Source organism: Homo sapiens, chromosome 14 (genome assembly GCF_000001405.40).
Source record: "Homo sapiens chromosome 14, GRCh38.p14 Primary Assembly".
In the NCBI taxonomy this organism is placed as follows: domain Eukaryota; kingdom Metazoa; phylum Chordata; class Mammalia; order Primates; family Hominidae; genus Homo; species Homo sapiens.
The window spans coordinates 46,304,907-46,328,640 of NC_000014.9; the positions used below are offsets into that span (position 1 = coordinate 46,304,907).

Sequence of the window (23,734 nt, forward strand, 5' to 3'; positions counted from 1 at the left end):
CATATATTTAATCTTGGATATTTTTTAAAGTTTATATTTTTGTCCCATTCTTCATGATTTGTCTGAGACAAACTTACTGTATTATAATTTAAATGCAATAAAATTCACCATTTTTGCCATGCGACTTTATTTTTGTGATGATTTCTGACAATATATAGTCATGCAACCACCGCTATCAAGAAATAGAATATTTATATTACTCCAAAAAAGATCATTTGTGAACCTTTTCAGTCAATACCCTCCTGCCATTTAAGTCTTTTTACATTTCTCTCAGTAAAGTGTTATAGTTTTCAATATATAGCTATTGAAAATCTGCGTCAGCTTTACTTCTAAATATTTCCTATGCTAACTGTGTAAGTGGTATTGTTTGCATATTTCTGATTGTTCATTGATAGTATATAACAATACAGTTGATTTTCACATTTAAACGTTTCATTCAATAATTTTGCTAAATAACTCATGAGTTCTGGTAGCTTTTTAATAGATTCAGTGAAATTTTCTGTATAGACAATTATGTTATCTGTGAATACAAGCTTTATTTTTCTAAGCAAATGGCATGGTTTGTTATTATCATTATCATATTTGCCTTATTTTACAGGCTAGAACAAGGATTGGTAAACATTTCTGTAAAGAGACAGATATTAAATATTTTGGGGTTCGTGGGCCTTTACGGTCTTTGTCACAAACTCAAATCAGCTATTATAGTGGGAAAGCGGCCATAAACAAAAGGAAAACAAGTGGGCATGGCTGGATTTGGCCAACAGGCTGTGGTTTTCAGGTGCCTTCCATCTTTTTATCTCTCTGTTTCATTTTGTAGGATTTTTATTGCTGTGTCTTCAAATTCTCTAATCTTTTCCTTTGTAATATCTAACTTTTCATTAATCCTATTCAGTGTATTTTTATCTCTGACATTTTGTTGTCATTGACAGATTTAATGGGTTGATCTTTTTTAACCTCATTTTAAGTTATATTTTCCTACTTTTTTGCATTCCTGGTCATTTGTTAAATTAGGTGATGGACATCATGAATTTTATCTTATGTGAGGACTATTTTTCATTTTGGTATAAATATTCTTGAACCTTTTTTTTCTGGCACATAATTAAATTACTTGAAAAGAATTCGATCATGTGGGTCTTGCTTTTTAGTAGGCAGAATCAGGGCTGTGTTTAGGTTAGGGTTAATCTTTCCCCACTACTAATGCAAGATGAGATTTTTTTTTTTTAATCTAAGGCAGGTAAGGACAGTAATCTTGTTTAGCCTTGTATGAGCCGTATTCCGTTCCTTATAATCTTTTCAGGTGAACCTTCCCACAATCTGAATTTCCATACACAAATGCAATGGTCAATATTCAAGAGAATATTGACAGGGATCCTTTCAGATACATGATATTCACTCTATGTGCAGTTCTTTCTTCTCCAGTGTTCTGTCTTATAAAATTGCCCTATGAAGCTGTCTTGGCTTCCTCAAATTCCAGCTCCATCTCTTCAACCCACAGAGACCACTGTAATTCACCCAGTTTTCTCCTCCCTATACGACTCTTCAGAAAGCTTCTCCAGGACAATTGTAACCTGAGACAACTGTCGGGCTTACTTAGTTTCATTCCAGTCCCTCAGGGACCATTGTCTTTCAATGTCTGATGCTCAATATCTTGAATGCTATTGTACCATATATTTTGTCACAATTGTTCAGGTAAATCTGATCTATCCTACTACATTTTGACTAGAAGCTGGAGTTTCTACATTTTTTATTTTTATATATCATAGATTTAACCTTTTGTATGTGATATATTTTGCAAACATTTTCCCCCAATTTTTATTTATATTTGACTTTGCTTGAGGTGTTTTATCAATGTAAAACTATGTTCTTTTTAATTTATGTGTAGTGAAATTTATCAATATACTCATTTTGTATTCTGTATTTTGCTTTATATTGTCTATTTATAATAGATATTTTGTATTCTGTATTTGCTGTATAATATTAAACTATTATGTTACCTATACATTCAGGTAATAGAAGAATACTGCATGTTTTCTCTTAGAACTTGGGTATGTGAAACTTTATAGAATCTGATTTTATCCCTTTCCAAATGGCTATCCAGTAGTCCCAAAATCATTTATAAAAATATGTTTGTCCCTGTTATTTGAGATAATTATACTGTCCTCCCATTCATCCAATGTTTTAAAATTATACTAATTTTAATAGTAATTCAAACCTAATGATCTGGAGATAATGTTTTTTATATAAAAGGTCAAGTAGAATCACAGAAGGTAGTTATTTTGGGCAAGAGCCCAGAGCCATTGGGTTTCTTAGGATGTTGGTGTTAATTATGTATTCAGCACTTATACATTGATTAACTAGATATGAGGCAAATTTCTCCAGTGTATGACTAATTTATTTCCTTTATCTCAGAATATGTAAATCCACATATTACAAAATAGATTGCTTTTTCATTAGTAGAGCACAGACTCATAAATATTAACTTTAAAAAATCTTCTATCTGTTGGGTTTTTTGTTTTGTTTTGTTTTGTTTTTTTTGCAACATTTCATTTGACTCTTGTATTGTCTTATCGGAATCTAAGAAAGAAATAATGGATTTGCCTGTGTTATAGTACTCCCAGTTCCTGGGTAATTCATACTTCCCCAAGAAGTTCTTTACACTTTTGAACAGTTAACTTTAGAGAGTTATGTCAATATTTTATATTTAACTGAAATCTACCTCATCTTATTATCAATTCATTTAAAAAAATTGAATCATTTTTCATACAATAACCTTTCTAAAGTTGAATGTTAATTATTGTGTGTCTCTTGAGCTTTCATTTCTCTAGGATATTAAACCTGGAGAAAATGTTCCTAACCCTTTTATGTATCACATTCAAGCATATTTAGCCATCTTAACTCCTCTGTTCTCATCAGGTAAAACTTTGTCCCTTAAATTGTTGCCTAACATTGTACAGAATCCTCTAGGGGTTATCTAAATCCTACAGAATAGAACCAAATGCCTTCAGACCTACCAGATCTGGTTCTAACTTTTTTCTACCACAACGTGTATTCTAATTGGTGCCAAATAAATTATAATCTGATGGGTCCTTTATATCTTAACTCTTATAAATATAATTTCATTTCTGAATCCCATTTTGTATGCTTTATAAAAGTGCTATATTGTCCTTTTAATGAATGTATACTCATGTAAGTATGTATTAAGATGAGTGGCCATTTAAAAATATTCATATCTTTTTATTTCTTGCAAAATACTCTATGTCACCTGCTCCCAAAAAAACGAAGTTTTGCTCAACAATATCTTGAGAGATTCTACATAACAAAGGTTCCATGACAAAAAATAATTAGGAAATTCTGAGAAAGCTTTCCCTTAAGATGTCATATGGCCAGGCACAGTGGCTCATGCCTGTAATCCCAGCGCTGTGGAAGGCCAAGGCAAGTGGATTGCTTGAGCCTGGGAGTTCAAGACCAGCCTGGGCAACATGGCAAAACCATATCGCTACAAAAAATATTTAAAAATTAGCCAGATGTGGTGGCACATGTCTGTAGTCCCAGCTACCCAGGAGGCTGAAGCGGGAGGACCACCTGAGCTCAGGAGGTCAAGGCTGCAGTGAGCCATGATCTTGCTACTCAGCCTGGGAAACAGAGTGAGAACCTACCTAAAAAAAAAATAAATAAATAAAAAATAAAAAATTCATAATGTATATTAATACATTACAGGCTCTGAGAGGTGCAGCAGTAAAATAAGTACTAAATTTTACTTAGACAAGCATTTTAGACTCAGAGCTACTCATTAAATTGGAAAAAAGTAGTAGTATTATGTAGTTTATTTAATGCTAACAATGTATAATGTGATGTGTCATGAATACTGGGGGTGAGATTTAATAACATCAGCTGAATGTCAAAATACCCTAAAATAACTATATGCAAATGGTAATTATTTCTATGCACCAAGACTGAAAGTTCATTCCATTATTTGTAGATAGTCGAGTTCAGAAGTAAGGGTGAATTTTATTTACTGATTAAAAGTATAGAGATTCAGAGACCCTCAGAAATTAGAAAATTATTTTAACAAGAGAGTTTATGAAAATACTATTCTTGAGGGATAAGTGATTTGTATATATTTACCTAAAAGTAATTTTGTTGGTGCAATAATTATGTAAATGCATTCTTGCTATATATGGTGCCATAAAGTATGCAATGGAAATAACACACTGATGAAATAATGACTATACTGCATTCAGCAGAATCCAAATAAACATCTTCAATGTTGGTGCATGTTTAGCATAAGTCAAAAGAAAAAAAAATGTGGCACTTCTCACTTATCCATTTTGTTTTGTATAGTTTTATGATCTTTACACTATATTTATAAATTATCTGCTGCTTGAATTGACTCCTATCACAGTGTTGTTATATTTTAGTGTCATAAATTAGACATAAAAATTGAGTAAGACTGAACTGAATATTTAATTACATGGTATTATTAATAGTTATAAATTTCAATGTTTTCCTTATCTATATTTTATGTTTTAGCTTTAATATATAAGCAATTAAATAATTTAACAGATGACTAATGGGGAATGCATTTAAATGTATTACTTAAATATTTAAAGACTAAATTAAAGCTTCAACATGACAATATTGTTAAATAACCTAAGATGAGAGATACATTACTTTTTAGGTATACTTTTAGAAAATACACACATATGGTCACTAGCCCTGCTTATACAAAGTATTTATGACCTTAATAAACAAGGACCTTGACAAAGAAACCTCTGAAGTGACTAGGAGAACTTATTTTGACTTTGATATTGTTTATCTTCTTTAAATATGTACTTAGTTCTTCAAATTAATTTTATTTTAAAATATTCCATATTTTATTCTGTATATCTACAAATAAATATATTGTATATATTTATTTATATTTGTAAAACTACTTTATACATATACTTGTGTATACACATATGTGTATATACTGTATTTGTATGTATGTGTATAGACTGTACATATATACACTCATGTATAATATATACATAAAAGTACATATATATTATACACACACACACATACACACACATATGCAGTCAGTCTTCAGTGTCCATGGGGAATTGGTTTCAGGACCTCCTGCGGGTACCAAAATCCACAGATGCTGAAGTCCCTTATATAAAATGGTGTAATATTTGCTTATAACCTATGCATATTCTCCTGTATACTTTAAATCATCTTGTAATACAATGTAATGCTGTGTAAATCGTTGTTATACTGTATTGTTTAGGGAATAATGACCAAAAAAGTCTTACATATTCAATACGGATGCATTTTTTTTTCAAACTTTTTGATCCACAATTGGTTGAATTCATTGGTGTGGAACCCATAGATATAGATGACTGACTACATATAAAAATGAAAGTAAAATTAAATTATAAAGTGATAAAAAATAATTTTTAAATATATGACATAAACAGTTTAACAAAGTAAAAGGTTTAGGAAAAAGTAGAAAAAAAAGTTTAAAGTTAAAAATAAAATTCTACCACAGCAATAGCATACAAAATGACAAGGTATCATCGTGATCAGAAGAAAGAATTCACCTAGACTTGGCAATTGTTTTGTTTTCCTTTTATTGCCTGAAGTAGTATTATGCTAAAGAAATGGCATTTCTAATCTCAGTTTAGTTAGGTATCTATTTTATATTCTGAAGTACAAATAATATAAAATAAAATCAATGAATAAATTATACCTGAAAAACAACTTTATTTCTCAACTCAGAGGTGGCCATAAATTGAGGAGAGATTCATTTATAATACCTCAATGAACTGAAATTTAATAATGTTTTGTCAAATAGATAGTAGTCTTCAAAATATTATGTGATCCTTGCTGAGGTAAAATGATGGGAAGTTTGATAACATGATTTTCCAATTTAATATTGTTTCTAAATGAATTTTCAAATACATAACATTTGAAAATCAATATAGGTTTTCTGATATATGATGTTTATTTTCCCAGTTTTTGAGAAATTTTGCTAAAATGTATTCATAGTATATGCTAAAGTAGATTTTCTAGACTAGATTTAAGGATTTTTTTTACAGTAATGATATAAAGTGAGATAACCTTCAGATGTATGTTTTAAGCTATCAGTATTTCTTACATTTGTCACAGCTTGTTTTTGCCCTTAGATTTACTGTAGCAGTTTCTTTGGTGAAATCTGGGCATGTATAAGGTGTTTCTGAGGTTTACCCACTGTTGAAAAACATTCTGTATTCTAGGTTTTTGCAATTCCAAATACAGATCACAGAATAGTTGGTCTCAGCATCATCTTGGGGGCTTGTTGGAAATGGCGAATATTAGGTCCCGTTTCAGAATACTGCAACAGAATCTCTAATAGTAACAAGATCCCAAAGGATTTATACAAATACACACACAAACACACTTTAGCAAGCACCTAGGACCAACCCCATTAAACATTACTTTGTAGGACTTCTAAAACCATTTACTAAAATCAGTGGCTTGATTTTTCATGATAATGAACTTCAAGGTTAATTGAAATCTAGATGTCATTACTTCCTTGTTTCTCTTCCTTGGTAGGAATGATTATAGAATGTTTTTCTAAGAATATCGTAGACACAAAATTTATGTTGTCAAATGAATGGAGTCGTTTTGTTGACACTACTAGTATGTAGATATCAGTATGTTTTTTGATAGGTATCAATAAGGCACAAAACAATTTCAGAATAAAGTTTTCAGAACCAGCTGCATTTCTGACAGTCATTTCACTGCAGGTGGCTTCTGAATCATTTGATATTGAGATGGTAGTAAATCTCTTGTTCTGTGGCCAACCTCACTACCCAGGGCTATTTTTCCAGAAGAGACAATGCTGAGCAGGAAATATCTGCTTCTCTGTTCCTTGCTGTCCTCTCGGAATCTCATCAGCTGTTGCTATATAAAGACTTCATAGCTGTGTATTTCAGAAACTTTTGTCAGCTGTTTTATTATCATACAGATCCTCAGCATAATTGTCAATAGACCATGCATACTTGCCATCATCCTAAGATTTACTAGCTTTCATTTATTTATCAATCCAATGAGACCACTAATAATCCTGATACTCTCTGAGCTTTTCCCCATCACTTGGTCTTCAAATGATTGAACTGTCTGTAGACACCACCATCTCAAGAACTCAGAATCTTTCAGGGGTAACAAAGTCTTATTTCTCTAGGTCAATAAAGGCTTTTGAGAGAAGACTTTTCAACTAATCTTACATGAAATATGAAAAAGGATTTCTCAACTCTGATATGGTAGTTTTATTTTACCCAAGATAAAAGCCAGTTGTTTTTTAAGTGGAACAAAGCGCATCACTTTGGCTGTTATCTGTCCCCTTTCCAGACTGGAGTTAGGCTCAGCTCAAACCTACATAATTCTCCATTTCAACAACACACTCGTGAGTTGAAACAAAATTAAATGGAGTGTCTTCACCTTTGAGTTACAAAATTATGTCCTATACTGCATTGCTATATTATTACTTATTTTTTTCCAAGTAAAACAACTTGTGAACTACAAAATTGCATGACTAGAGAAATAACAAAACCCCACAAAAACAAAAACTGTCAATAAAAACCCAAAACCAAAACAAAGTGAAGTAACTTAGAAGATAGCAAGATTTATTATAAAAATATAATAATTTAGATAGGTGCTCTTTGACTCAGGAATTGACAAAGAAACCAAAGAAAACCTAGAGGCCCTAAAAGCAAAGTAATAGGTAATCAGATATTGACTTATGAGAGACAGGGCATTAAAAAGCAGTGGGATAAAATACCCTTTTTGTATAATTGTGCTGAAACAATTGGCAATCCATGCATGTAGAAAAATGTAATTGGGCTTCAACTTGACACCATACAAAAGGTAGATTATTAGATCTGAAAAGCAAAAGTCTAAAATTTAAGATAATATTATAGAAGAATTTTCATTACATTTTGACAGGGAAGAGATTTTTTAAGTAAAAAGCACTGACAGGAAAAGAAAGATGGGTAAATTTAACCATAAAAAATTAAAAGCTTTTTATCAAGAGATTATACACTATTGTGAAAGTGATAAAACAAGTCATGAAATCAAAAAAGGTATTTGTAAAATGAGTTTGACCAATACTTTGTATCCAGAACACTAAAAAAATGCTCCTACAAATAATTAAGAAAATAAAAGGAAACCTAGCTAGTAGGAAAGTGAATAAAGGGGAAAAATTCAAATGACATGTTAATGTATGGAATGGTATTTTGCTTTATTAGCAATTATTATGTGCAAATAAAAAATATTACATGGAGCAATATGCCCATCATATTGGAAAAATGAACTAGTTTGACAATAGGAAGGTTTCCTGAGCATATGAAATAATGGAACTTCCATGCCCTTGAGGAATTGGCATAACCACTTTGCAAAGTTTGGTATCATCTGATAAAACTGAAGATACATGTATTCATGGATCCACTAACTCTCTTTCTTATTGCATCTTCTCAAGATACGTATGTACGTAAAATAACATTATTTGTAAAAGTTCAAACTGGAAATCATCTATACTTTTATCATTCCTTAACTATATGATTGAATTATTATATAGTCATGGCATGGAAGACTACAGAGCAATGATTTTTTATTGCTATTCTTTTTTGTTGCTGACTAGTATTACATTGTATAGATATACCAGTTTCTTCTTTCATTTGCTGATTGAAAGATATCTTGTTTCCAATTCTTGGAGTGTATGAAGTGGCTAGTAACTGTGCCATATAGGTTTTTTGTGTGTGTGAATATAAGTTTTCTTTTCTCTTGGGTAAATGCCTACGAGTAGGGTTGCTTGATAATATGATAAATGTTTGATTAATTGCATGAAGAATGGCCAAACCATTTTTGAAAGTGGTTGTTCCACTTTACATCTAAGAATATATAAATATTTCAGTTGGGGGTTTTCAGCACTTCATGCTCTCTGTTTATTTTAATTGTTTTTTTTTAACCATTCTATAGAGTGTGTAGTGTTATGTCATATTTTTGATCTGCATTCTAACAACCAATGAAGTTAAGTACTCTTTTCAAATGTTTATTCGCCACCATATATCTTCTTTGGTGGTTTCTGTTTAGATCTTTTCCATTTTTAATTTATTTATTTTCCAATTGTTGATTTGTGAGAGTTTCCTATAATTTCTGGATGCAAGTCATGTGACAGAAATATATGCATTTAACAAGTATTTTTGTCCAGCTGTATCTATCTTTTCAGTCTTTCAACAATGTCTTTTCCAGACAGAAAGTACAATTTATATTTTCATTTATGAGTCATGCTCTCAGTGTCCTATCTAAAAACTCTTTGGGTCCAAATCCAAGATCACAAATATTCTCATTATAATCTTTTTCTAGATGTTTTATAACTTTGTGGTTTGCATTTAAATGTTGTAATACATTTTAAATTATTTTTTAGATAAGGTATAAGATGAATTGAGGTACACAGTTTTGTGTATGGATGTTCAAATTTTCAAGCAGCATTTCTTTTAAAGATGTATCCTTTAACCATTCACTTGCCTTTGCACCTAGAAAAAAATATCAGTTGACAGTGGAGGTCTATTCTGGGCTTTCTGTTCTACTCTATTGATTGATGTGTTCATCTTTTCATTAATATCACCCTACCTTGGTTTCTGTTTTTATCTGTATAATTGTTGATGTTTTTGCTTTATTTGGGTTTATTTTCTTAAATTTCTTATCATGGAAGCATAGATTACTGATTTAAGACTTTTCTTCTTTTCTAAAATAAACACTTAGTGCTGTACATTTTTCTCTAAGCATACCTCTAGTGGCATTCCAATCATTTTGATCTGTTGTATTTTCATTTACACTCAGTTAAACATAGAGTTGCATTTAATATTTCTTCTTTCATGCATAGGTTATTCAGAAGTATGGTGTTTAACTTCCAGGTTTTCAGGGGATTTTTTCAAATAGCTTTTCTTTTGTAATTGACATCTAGTTTAAGTATGTTATTGGAAACACACTTTGTTGAATTTCTATTCTTGTACATCTGTTAAGAATTGTTTTATGACCCAGAATAGAGCATATCTTGGTGATTGCTTCATCTGCACTTGAAAAAAAATGTATATCTGCAATTTTTGGGTATTCTTTAAATGTCAATTAGATCAAGTTAGTAATTACAACATTTAAAAAATCATAATGGTTGCCCTATGTTATACAATAAACATCTTTGATTAACCACTGCATCTTCAAATAATATGATATTTCACATATAAGTACTTCACAATGGTATATTCCTAATTTCGCTCTCCCATCTTTGTATTGTGGTTGGCATATATTTTACTTTTACATATGCTATAAATGTACATTTACTTTATACTATTTTTAACTTACATATCAGTTATCTTCTAAAGCAATGAAAAACAAGAAATAAGTAAAGAATTTTAAACTATTATTTATGCTAGTATTCTTTTTACTGTGCAGATCTGTATTGCTGTCTACATTGTTGTCTTTCATCCAAAGAACTTCGTTTAATATTTCTTATAGTGTAGGCTGGAAATGAATTCTTTCCATTTTTGTTTGAGAAAGACTTTACTTCTTTTTTTGGAAAGACATTTTGTTTTTACTAGATATAGTTAAATAGATATATTTCCTTTTGCTAGGCCTTCAGTATAGGTGTCTGAATTACTATAGTCAGAGGTTGGACTGGGCTTGAAATTTGTTGCTATAGTTACCCACAGTGCATCACAGACTTCAAATTCCTCTGGCAAAACCTTTGGTTTAGGATGGGGGCTAGTTGGCTTGAGGATTGTTTAGAGTGGGGACCAATTTACAATTTCTCAGTACCAGCTCCGTCTTCAACTTTCAGTCTTCCTTTTGTACTGTACCTCCATGAGATTTGCTTCTGTATTCATTATCCCAGTCATAAAGAGCATGGTGGAGGTGTTTTCTGATAATTTATTATTATGCCTTAATCTTAGGCAGTTTCTGTGTTTCTAAATATTAAGATTGTGGCCTTCACAATTTCTCCTGCCGTGCTTCAGCTGCAGCCTTTGGCTCAAGATGTTTTCCTCCCTCTCCCCAGGTGTTAGTGTTTTCTGGTTCTTTCTCCTTATTGCAGTTGTTTTTTCCTAGTGCCCTAAAGTTGACAGTCTTTGTTGTCTTCCCCCTATGAATTAAAAATGTGTTCCAAAAGGAAATAAAATCGTTTTCAAAAAAAATTCTACAGCTATTTATGTCCTGTTATGCCTTTCCTAACTGAAGCCACAGAAAATGAAAACTTGCATCATACTTTCCCCCATCTCCAAGAATGAACTGCCCACCAGAGTCTGTTGCTTCTGTTCATTCTTCATGGACTTCAAGGTGCTGATTCGTATGTTATGCTGAGGTTTTACAGCTGTTTTCTGCAGGTAGATACTCCCATTACAGTCCTCTCCCTTCATTGCCCTCTGAATACCTGAATATGTTTTTCTATGGGTTTCTATTGCTTTTATCAATCTGACCTCATGGCTTCAGGAGTTATTTAGTTTCTAGATTTATAATTTTACCTTTCTTGTTTTTCAATGAGGAAATTATTTTGCCCTAAATATGAATATAAACATGAAAATAGACACAAATACAAACATTTATTTAAATTTGGCTGGGCGCGGTGGCTCAAGCCTGTAATCCCAGCACTTTGGGAGGCTGAGGCGGGCAGATCACAAGGTCAGGAGATGGAGACCATCCTGGCTAACAAGGTGAAACCCCGTCTCTACTAAAAATACAAAAAATTAGCCGGGCATGGTGGCAGGCGCCTGTAGTCCCAGCTACACGGGAGGCTGAGGCAGGAGAATGGCGTGAACCCGGGAGGTGGAGCTTGCAGTGGCGCCGCTGCACTCCAGCCTGGGCGACAGAGCGAGACTCTGTCTCAAAAAAAAAAAAAAAAAAATATTTATTTGGTATATCTTGATCAGTCTCTTTCAAACCTTTTCTAAAACTATTTCCTCGTTTAAAATGGAAAGTGACATTACATCTCACTCCATAATCTAAAATGTTTACAATTCATTGCCCATTTCCCCAAAGCCTTTTAATTTCTCCAAACAGCTTTTAATTTCCAGGAAATGTTCCTAGATGTAAAATGTGACTTTATGAATAATTTCTGCATTTCCCTTTTGGGCAAGTTGCTGCTTGTCTGGCAAGCTTTAAAAGATATTTTCAAAAAAGACTTAAAAGGGAGCAGTAATTAGCTTTTTTTAACTTTGAAACATTCTGTTTGGATTTTGTTCCACATCAAGAATATTTTGTAAGGTATTTCAGAGGAAATTTATCTACCTCCCTTTTAAAAATGAATTTAATGCCATATGATACAATATCTATGAACGAGTTTAATTAAACCTTTTGCATTCGAAGATTTTATCTTGAAAACTTAAGGTAACCATGACACGTGACATGTTTTTACTAACTATGCTATTAATGGCTATAAATTAATTTATCTAGGATATTAATATTGAATGTACAATGTTAAAGATTTCTCAACAATCAGACATGTACTTTTAAAAAGATATTTTATTCATATTGCTTTACACTAAAATATTTTTATTACTTTACATATCTTAAATATTTTGATAGTTCACTTTATTAGTACTGTTAAAATTAGTGATATTAATCCTTGTGACCGACTTAAAGTTACATCATCTTTGTATACTGTTTATATAACTGTGCTCTTGTTATAATCCCCGGTCTGTACCTAAAATAATAAATGACTAATCACTAGTATACACAGCAGAACATTGGAAAATTGCATTAGCCCCATACTCAGAAAAAGACAATGCAGAAGAGAATCTTTCTGACTTACTTTGTGGTAGAATAGATCATCTATTATGTCTCCCTAAACACAAATGTTCCACCTAAATAGATGGACATTTTCTAATCAATTCCAGTGATTCGTTAAAAACATCTCTCCAAATGAATCAACATGGGAAGTATTACAGATGATAATATATTATATTTTAACATATTTAAATTTAATACTAGCTTGCATCTATTAGAGATAACATTTAAATAATTTAGCCTTCTTGCATAAATTTGCTACTAGTTTCTGATATAATTTTCAAACATTTGAAAAGAACTAATTGGATTTAAAGTTATTAGGTAGTCTTTAATGTATATTAAGACAGGAATTGCACTGGATTGCCAAAGTAATAAAACCACTCATAAATTGTAATAACAGGAAAATGAAAAGAATCAAAGAATGGACTATATAGCCCTGGGGTAGACAGCACTGAATGACAGTCCTTTTTGTGTCCATTGATTATATGATCTACCTGTTTTTAATTTAAAATAATAAATTTTAAATAGTACTTTGTTTCCATTATATATACTTGATTAAAATAAAATTTACTTAATTTTTTTTAGAAAATAATAAAGGCAATTGCACTGTACATTGAAACTCATACACAATGCAGCCCAAATATTACTCACAGAAATTTCTGCCTTTTAAACTATATTTTGCTAAAGGATGAGAGCAATTAAATTAATCACTGAAATATTTTAAAAGAACCAAACCTTATGAAAACTTAAGAAATTGGGATGAAATAAATATAAAATTACACATTGATTTAAAAAAGCAGAATTAATGAATAACTAATAACTGGTCCTCTGAAAGAAAAATTAGAAGAGTAAAGCCAGCATATCTCTGGAAAATGTGGTCATAGAAAATAAAACATACTCGAAAAATTTGGAATTTTTTTAATGCCAAGTTTTTAAAGAAAATTTAAAAAATAAAAAAAATAGGATACATATTTGTACTTACAAATATATTTAAATACTGAGGTACTCTCACTTCTAATAAGCTGATATTGCTTAGTGTTTGATATTTCATGCTTTATGAGCTGAAGATCTACCGTGAACGTTTGCATTCTGCTGATTTCTCTAGGTGCTTATTGAAATACTCAACTTTCATGATGCTCTGATGGCTTTGGCAGGTGAGAGAATAACTGCATCTGTAGTTTGCATTACTTTATTAGAGATGTTGTTTAGGGCCATAAAGTGTTACAGAATTTATTAATAGCTTATTCTGTTTTCAAAATTTATACATGCCTCTTTTCTTCCGGTGTATATCACACGAGAAAACAGTTACAGAGAGATACTTTCCATACTCCCCAACATTGTACCCCAAGCCACGCTGGCTGTGTTGTGGAATCAAAGCTTTTATGCCAAATTGCTTCCTGTTGATTTTTCTTAACCTACTCATTATCTCCTGTGATGGTTAATTTTGTGTGTCTACCTGACTAGATCAGGGATGCCCAAACTGACTAAACAGTATTTCTGGGTATGTGTATGTGACGGTGTTTCCACATGAGGTTAGCATTTGAAGTGGGTGAATTTGAATTCACTCAATGAAACTGACTGCCTTCACCTATGTGGATGAGCATCATCAATCTATTGAGGGCTTGAACAGAACAAATGGCAGAGAAAGGGAGAATTTGCCCCAGTTTCAGGCAAATGTGAGCTGGGACATCCATCTTTTTCTCTTGCCCTCAAAGCTCCTGGTACTCAGACCTTCAGACTGACTGGGATTTATACCATCAACTGTCCAGCTCTCATGGCTTCAAACTATACTACCAGCTTTCTTGCTTTCCAGCTTGCTGGTGGCAGATTGTGAGATTTCTTAGCCTCCATGGTCATGTGAACCAGTTTCTATAATAAATCTCATTATATATATATGCATATATAAGATTTATTTCCCATACATGTATCTATAAGCATATGAATATAGATTTATTTTATAGATATGTGTATATATAAATATATGTAAAATATATATAGATAGATATACAGATAGCAATTCTCCAGATTCTAATAATAATAGTAAAATAGATCATATAAGCCAGTATCAACTACAAGTCTTACACAATGATATCCTGGATAAGTTATTTTAATTAAAGAAATGTCAAGTAAATAATATATTTCTAAAGAAAAAAGGAAAAGACAACATTTTTATCTAGTTAGTCATTCAACTAAAATGACATCGTTGTACAAAATATTGCAAAAAGAACCTGGACATTCTTTTTATTTTTTGTTTTGTTTGGTTTCTTTGTTTTTGTTTTGGTTTGGTTTAGTTTTTTTGCTTAAACGATATGTGAAAGCATTTTTTTTTATCTTTTATTTATGTCTATTCACCAAAATGTTCTTGATAAATGGTCAAATGTTGATAGCAGGTATTGGAAAAAGACATTGGATAGAGTTTATTTTCTTGAAGTCTTCTCAAGTTATTATATCCCTTATAAGAGAGTACCTTGCCTCTTTGGCCATGTGAGAATGTGGAGAAGACAGCCATCTATAAAGCAAGAGGTCAGGCTTTGCCATACACTGAATCTGCTGGCACCTTCATCTTGAACTTCTCAGCCTCTGGAACTATAAAAAATAAATTTCTCTTATTTTAAAACCACATATTTTATGTTACTTTGTTATAGCAATGCAAATGGACTAAGACAATAATTTATTCTAGTAAAAATGATGGGAATGGTGTCAAATTATTACTTGAAATAGGTTGATTTCTGGACAGTATTTATCTTTCAATAAGATATGTCAACAATCTATGTCAAAAGCTGATAATAAAATTTTTGTATTAACTAATCTTTTTTACTTTTTAAGAAGAAATTCTGGATGTAATGACTTTTGGCTGGTAATCACATACTGCTACTTTGGGTTATAATGTCTTTCACATAATGAAATCTAGATTTTAGTCCTCTATTTAAAAAAGGTTCATAGACAAAGTTGAAGTAACCTTTATTAGACTCAGAAAGCATTGACTTTTGAGACAAACATAAATTTATTAATGAAGGAGCTATTTTATTTAAAAATATATAAATCATGTTTATCCACTACTTGCAGGAATAATTAATACAAATGCACTGAAACTCATTCTTATAGTGAAAATAAAAATTTGTCATATGATATCAAATATTGGAGAATGTCACAGGTGTGTGAACCAGAGCAACTCCATCTTAAATAGGAGCTGGGTAAAATGAGGCTGAAACCTATTGGGCTGCATTCCCAGATGGTTAAGGCATTCTAAGTCACAGTATGAGACAGGAGGTCAGCACAAAATACAGGTCATAAAGACCTTGCTGATAAAACAGGTTGCAGTAAAGGTGTGGGCCAAAACCCACCAAAACCAAAATGGTGACGAGAGTGACCTCTGGTCATCCTCACTGCTACACTCCCACCAGCACCATGACAGTTTACAAATGCCATGGCAATGTCAGGAAGTTACCCTATATGGTCTAAAAATGGGAGGCATGAATAATCCACCCCTTGTTTAGCATATCATCAAGAAATAACCATAAAAAAAGAGGAACCAGCAGCCCTTGGGGCTGCTCTGTCTATGGAGTAGCGATTCTTTTATTCCTTTACTTTCTGAATAAACTTGCTTTCGCTTTGCACTGTGGACTCACCCTGAATTCCTTCTGGCGTGAGAGCCAATAACCCTCTCTTGGGGTCTGGATCGATACCCCTTTCCTATAACAAGATTATTTAAATAATGTTAGGAAAGCTCAGCATCATTAAGTTAACCACACTATTGGAAATGCTAATATTTTATAAGTGTTTCATAAAGGCAAGATTATAAATAACCCTGTATGCAAGTATCTCAGCTCAGAATACCATATTGAAATAACCACTCAGTTTGAAAGACTTTAAACAATTCTTGTAAAACTGTTTAGCAGAGTATGGCAATGGCCTGTGTTACTTATATATCCACGGTAGCAGTAGAAATGAGGATAAGTGGATGGATAAGAAATATATTTTTGAGATAGACACAAATAGGACTTGCTGCTGAATTTGGTATGAGGGTTTAGGGAAAGAGAGGAAAAAATGATTACTCCTAGGATTCTGGTTGAGCATTTGGTGTGGATGATGGTAACATTTGCTGATGATGAGGAATACTGAGACAAAAGTAGATTTTCATAGCATAGGATTGGTGAGGACATAAGACAATACTGGACATAATAAGTATGAAAGGCCTACTACATATTAAAGTGGAGATAAAAAAATAATGCATGTGCAGGAAGGAGGATAAGGGAGAGATTTAGATATATAGGGGAGAGATTAGGAAGCAGTGATAAATATGAGACATTTGACCAAGATGGCCATAAAGTTTTCCACAGCTCAACTGACAAGCTTCTTCCTGACTCTAGGCTCCTGATCTCCCTTTTCTTAGAGCATTTACTTTAGAAAACTTTTAAGATGTAAATCATTTTAAATGTCTTGACAGGTTTACAACCTAAGAATGACTTTCTTAAAGACGTGGAAGCCATCCCTTTGAAATGTAATCATTAAGAAGATAATGCCCTCATCTTCCAGTCTCTGTAAGAGAGTAGGAATCTAACATCAATTAGCAGACTGGCTAAACAGGATTTCTGGGTGTGTGTGTGAGGGTGTTTCCACATGACATTAGCATTTGAATTGGTGGACTCAATGAAACTAACTGCCTTCACTTATGTGGATGAGCATCATCAATCTATTGAGGGCTGGAACAGAACAAATGGCAGAGAAAGGGAGAATTTGCCCCAGTTTCTGCCTGACTGTGTGCAGTGGTGTGCTAATTAGGCACTGATTAGCAGACACAAATGGCCTAAGAACAGAGAAACACTTTTACACACTCAGGAATAAGTCATGCTTACCACCTTCCACTGATCAGATTCCCCCCATAACTTCTATTAAAATAATAGACCATGAAATCTAGGGCTTTACTACTGTGATCTGAGGACCAGCAACACTGGCATTCCTGGGAGATGGTTAGAAAAAAAAAAATACTCAGAACTCCCTAAATCAGAAGCTGCATTTTTAACAAGATTCCCAAATGCGAATAAGTGGATAATGGAGGATGGAAAAGTGAACTGGATGTGTTAGAATGTGGGCTGTGGGATAAATTAAATGAAAGGATGGGATGGCATGGTCAAAGCCAGCAATGTTAAATCTAAGCTGAATACAAAGTGAGTTAATGGGGTTATCAATGATGGCATGGTCAAATTTACAATCATGGGTGGGACTGGCTGACAGCAATCCAGGTGCTAGACTCACGGGTGAGGTGAGTAAGGAAGAGTGACAGGGAGGTCTTTAAGAGTGATGGCCATCAAAAAGAGTGCATAGTGCAATGGCATGTGCTTCATGTTTTGGTTTTTAGAAAAACAAAGGAAGGAAACATAGTTTAGAAGTGTTAGCAACACCCCCTTTGTTGTCTCTAGTTGTGAGGTACATGCAAAGGAAATAAAAAACAGCCTTTTCTTGAAAGAGCTAGGTGGAGGTTGTGGCCTGAGGAAATGTGAGGTTTCAGATAAGCCAGGAATTGGCAAACTGTTTCTGTAGAGAGCCGGATAGCACATATTTCAGGCTTTGTGGGCCAGGTGGTCTCTGTCACAACTACTCAACTCTGTTCTTGAAGTAGAAAAGCAGCCATAGATATTAAGTAAATAAATGAGTGTTTCAATAAAACTTTTTGTACAAAACAGGCAACAGGATAGATTTTGCTTGTGGGCTGTTTGTTGATTCCTAAACTGAGGCATCTAGATGAAGAGTAGTGAGGATAATAAATGCTAAAATGAGGATAACTGACCATAGGTTCCAGAGGAATTAGTGGAAAGCATTGGCAAGCTGTGGAAGATTTATGTCAAGTTAGGAGTGTGACACCCACTCTTAGTGAGCAAGATTTCTGCTGGTTGCTAAAGTAAACACCAACATGAGTCATGGAGAATTAGTCCTGATATTGTCTTCTTAAATTATAAATTAACCACTTATTTTATAATATTTCATCAACATACAACATACATTTTAAACTGTATAGAAGCTATAAAAGTGAAATGAAACTTGTGTGCCCAGCTTAAGAAATAGGTTATAACTAATGTTTTGAAGCCCTCATGCATCCTCTCACATTCATATCTGTCTTTCCCTTACTCCAAAGATAAGCTCTACTGTAAATATTTTGTTTTTGTTTTTAGTTTTTCTATACCTGGATTTAAGTTAAAGGACAAGTATAGAAATTGGATGACTGAATAAATAGTTAAGGACCTCAGGAGAGATTGAGAAACTTCTCTCCCAGAAGTGTGTTCTTATATTTCAAAGGCAGATAAAAATATGATGCCAGTCATTCATTTACATTCCAAAGAATTTGAAATTAGGAAACTTCCTCTTCTCTTCCCAGAGAAGATTTGTTTACATGAAGTAGATAAAATTATCCCCAATCTCTGGAGGAGAAGGTAGCAGCTGGGCAGTTTATAGCCCACATAAGCTCCCAGAATTGTAATTTTGGGATTCCTCGCCTTTGGTACAAAAATCTTCTTTTATACACTTGCAGACCTGGCTCTCATTGCATCACTTTGAAGGGGAGAAATAGGGTACAGGAAACCAATGTGCTTACTACTGTAATAATAGTCTTCCCCCAGTCCAGAAGCTTCATGTTTATTTTCGGGGCAAAATAAATAAACATAGATATCAAAAACTAACCATCAGCAGCAGTGGAATACATATTCTTTGTATTATATATTCTGTGGGCTCTGAGGCTTTAGAATTCCTATTTCCTAAAAGTACTCACGAGATTCACCATGAACACAGAAAAATCTTCACTGAATTATAAGCTATGACACCTGTGTGAAAGTTGGGGCTCCTCGTGTTTGCAGACCAGAAGATGAGAAAAAGGGTCATTATCCTGGCTGCATTAATTGACTCATGATCAGAAGGTAGGGATGCTGCTATACAATAGTGAAGAATGAGGCACCTTGTTCATCCACTTGGGCACTTCTTGATAATTCCTCATACAATTTTAATAGGAAATACATGTGTATAGCAGCCACAACCTGAGAAGTACATAAAATATCCAGGGCGCAGATCACTCCAGAATGAAGGACTATGCACCCCGCAAGCCATGGAGATCTGCAGAGGTGCTTTTTGAGGGAGAGAAGAATCTAAAATGGAAAACAGAGATCATGAGTGCCAGTCATGATGGTTCTGATAGCAGCTGCAGCAATGACAGCTGTCGTTTGTCCCACTGATCATCCTCTTATATAAGTTTCCCTTAATAAAAGTAGCCTATCTCAACCTTGCATGAACTGCATCCTCTCACATTCATATCTGTCTTTCCCTTCCTCCAAAGATAAGCTCTACTGTAAATATTTTGTTTTTGTTTTTAGTTTTTCTATACCTGGATTTAAGTTAAAGGACAAGTATAGAAATTGGATGACTGAATAAATAGTTAAGGACCTCAGGAGAGATTGAGAAACTTCTCTCCCAGAAGTGTGTTCTTGTATTTCAAAGGCAGATAAAAATATGATGCCAGCCATTCATTTACATTCCAAAGAATTTGAAATTAGGAAGCTTTTATAGAAATTAGGAAACAGTTTATAAGAATACTCAAGCAGCACGAGGACTAGACGTTAGTGGATTCTGTGCTGCACTGCCCAGATCCTCCTGTAGGATTGAATGACTTATTCTCTTAGCTTCTGGTAGTGCTACTGCCGTCAGACAGCACTCGGTGGCCACCTCACAGAAAGTCGTATTTCTGACCTGGGCAGCCAATATGCAATGACTATTCAATGCTGGGGGATAATCTCCCCTCCCCTTGTACCAACATGGAACAAGTGAGAAGGGCATGGGATTGACAGAGGCCTCCTTTGTTGACACTGCATCACTGACCACCTTCACCCCTGCCCACTTCTACTTTCTCCTTTCCTCTCTTTCCACAGCTCTTTTTTTCCCAAGAACAACCTTTACTATTTCCCATAGGTTAATTTTAGTCTCATTGTCTTCTTCTTGAGGAACCCAACAAATAACACATATCAGTTAATAAATTATTTTAAAAATATGTGTCTGAATGATACACTGATACTTTGAGGGATAAATGTTAAAAGTGTCCATTTGTAAAATTTAAAAAGAAACATTCTTAAAATTCCAGTGAAAAATGCACAAGCTGATGGGAGCACTCACCAAAGCTGAGCACCTGCTATAGCACCTTCTCTGGAGGACAGATGAAAACTCATAGAGCAGTACTGTGGCACCTTTGCTAGTCAAATGTGTAGCAGTGGCAGCAGCAGTCACCTCATGTGGGAGCTTGTTAGGCTGTCAGTCTCGCCCAGACCTGCTGAGTCAGATTCTTCGTTTTTATAAGATCCTAAGATAATTCCTATTCTCTGATTTAGATTAATGATTCTCAATCCTGACTGTAAGGTAGAATCACCTATGAGCTTTGAACAAAATACCTATGCCTATGCCACACTCCAAATAAATTCTACCAGATTCTCTGGGATATGGTGTCTGAGCATTGGTATATTATAAAAGTTCCCAAGGCTTTTTCTAATGAATAGCTAGAGTTAAGAGTCACTGATACAGAGAGTATCCAAGGTTCGTTTTCCCCTTGAATGTCTTAGGTCAATCACAAATTTCTATAAAATCCTTCTGGATTCCCATCACTAAGTTTCCATTTTTCTCTTAGAATTTTAAACCATTTGTTTCATTTCCATTCTTTCAACCTCAGAATGAAAATATGAAACTGTACATGGATCGGTTCGTTTATTGTCTGATTGTGGCTCTAGAAATTGCAGTTTTCTATCCTTCCTTCTCATGGGATTATGGAAAAGGTAAAATTAATAAATGGCCATAAAGCTCAATTTCCAGGTACAAAAACCAATGCCATATTCACTCTCTTTCAAATACTGTTTCAGTTTGGTTAGAAGGATTTTCAATTTCAACGCATTTTTAAGGGTCAGTCAATGAGGTTTGGCACCAAGGCAAATTATTCAATCCTTTTATCTTCCCCAATGCTTTGAGAAAAATAACCAAAATAAGGGATGAAAGCATATAAATAGCTGCAGGCCATTGATTCCTGCACAAGCAAACATGTACCAAAGACAGGAAAAAAAAATTCCATCTCTCCCTTCTGCTCAAAATAGGAGACAATTCATATAGTCTCAAAAGTATAGGCCTGAATAAAGTAAATAGGTCTGAATAAAGTAGTAGACATAATAAATAATAAAATACGCATGTATTACATAGCAATTTTAAGTGTGCCTGGGGCATGGGGGCTTCTCCACATGTTCTAGAGACTTTCTATTGACTACAGTCACTGAAGTATAGGAAAAGGAATGGATAGTTTAAATATTTAAAAGCCACTTAATAATAATATAAGTTAAGAAAGTCTATAAGCATGTCTAAGTAGAAACTTACATGCATGAATATTTTTTGTATGTTAAAGCTCACGTGAAGACATATATTTAAAAACACATTAGAGCCGGGAATATTTTGTTACTGTTGAGGTTAAATAACTGAAAAAGAATATTTTGCTTATGTCAGTGGGAAGTTTATCAAACTGTTGTTAAAATTTGGAATTTGGTAGTTTTGTCATTATTATTATTATTAGGAATATATTAAGGAGAAGATACAGGAAAAATATCATAAAGAAAAATATTCAACCGAAAGTCAAGTAAAGAAAGTTCTTCACAAATTGAATTACAAACATTAGAATTCATCCCTTCCAAATATGCTAAAAATGACTCAATTCCCAGAGCAAAATTAAAATCAGAATTATTTTTATGATTGTTTTACAATTGCCTTGGCTATAAAGAAACATAGACCTATAAATCATTGTGGAAATACTTTTGAAATATTTTGAAAATAATTTTGAACTGAATTACTTGATTTTCCATTTTCAAATTCAGGAAACAATAGTACTATCATTTTTCTGACTATAGACATGCCTAAGAGGAAAAAAGTCAGGACTGGTTATAAGAGTCACACAGGTTTTCTGGCAGTGAACATATATTTTATTGACTGAACTATAAAGGATTGAAATTATATTATTATAAGTTAACTGTTATGATCTACATGTTCATTTGATTTTAAAGCTAATTGAACATTGAATGCAATATATTTGAAAATTTAACATCTAGAAAAAGTATACACAGACTTCCAAAAATTCACAGTGGGGTTGTTTGACATTTCAAGCTATACCAGACTCAACTACTCAATCATTTTCAGAGTAAAAAGTAATATTTACCTTTTAGGTACAAGGGAAGAGAAAGAATCTCATAAATAACTATGTTTAAATCTGAAAATATATGTATTTGTTAGTCTGTAGAATAGACTCTGTCCCTGTGTTAACTTGGAAAATACATTTCCTTTGGAAAATCAAGATAAGTAAGTGTCTGCAGTATAAAAGGGACTTATAAAAAGGGAGGCTTTCTGTCACTGACAGAGTATGAAACTTCTATTATGATATGTGCATGATTTAATTATTACAGCATTTTAAAGACCCTGTCAAAGCTTCAGATATTTCTGTCTGTGGCTTCGGACCTCAAATGGCATATTAATTAATTAAAGGTTTTGGCTGTATGGGTTTTTGCTCACAGATGTTAACTAGTAGTGTTTGTGCAGTTTTCAAGGTTACTGCTAGGAATCTTAGAATCACAGAAACGTTGGTGGAGTCCATCTGGTCCATGGTGTGATGACAGATTCTCTGACAGCAAAGATTAGGGAGAATATTTCTCTAGACAGCCTTCCCCAATTAAAATACAGAATCCTATAACCACTCTCCCCCTCTGCTCTTGCTCTCCTCATTTGCTAATTTTTGTTTCCATTGTACCAACAGCAGCCTGGTAGCTTTAGTAGGTAGGTACTTTGGCCTCATGAGACAAGATGCTCAATAAACTTCTCAAACTTGAAAACCTATTTAGTTATCAGCAACCTAGCGACTGTCAAAAACAGGATATACTGT

General features: G+C 33.3%; 1 long non-coding RNA gene across 2 annotated transcripts in view, besides 2 other annotated features; it reads left to right on the plus strand.

Annotated features, from left to right (window-relative positions):
• The window catches only part of LINC00871 (long intergenic non-protein coding RNA 871), a 437,745-nt gene that overhangs the window by 240,748 nt on the left and 173,263 nt on the right, over positions 1–23,734 (plus strand). The gene's annotated exons all lie outside the window — the stretch shown is intronic.
• Positions 16,363–17,295: an enhancer, noted in NCBI's record as "OCT4-NANOG-H3K27ac hESC enhancer chr14:46790472-46791404 (GRCh37/hg19 assembly coordinates)". NCBI's record gives its function as "activates a minimal SCP1, AML or CMV promoter by ChIP-STARR-seq in naive and primed H9 embryonic stem cells {active_cell/tissue: H9 hESC(naive and primed)}" and the evidence as "EXISTENCE:reporter gene assay evidence [ECO:0000049][PMID:30033119]".
• Positions 17,296–18,228: an enhancer, noted in NCBI's record as "OCT4-NANOG-H3K27ac hESC enhancer chr14:46791405-46792337 (GRCh37/hg19 assembly coordinates)". NCBI's record gives its function as "activates a minimal SCP1, AML or CMV promoter by ChIP-STARR-seq in naive and primed H9 embryonic stem cells {active_cell/tissue: H9 hESC(naive and primed)}" and the evidence as "EXISTENCE:reporter gene assay evidence [ECO:0000049][PMID:30033119]".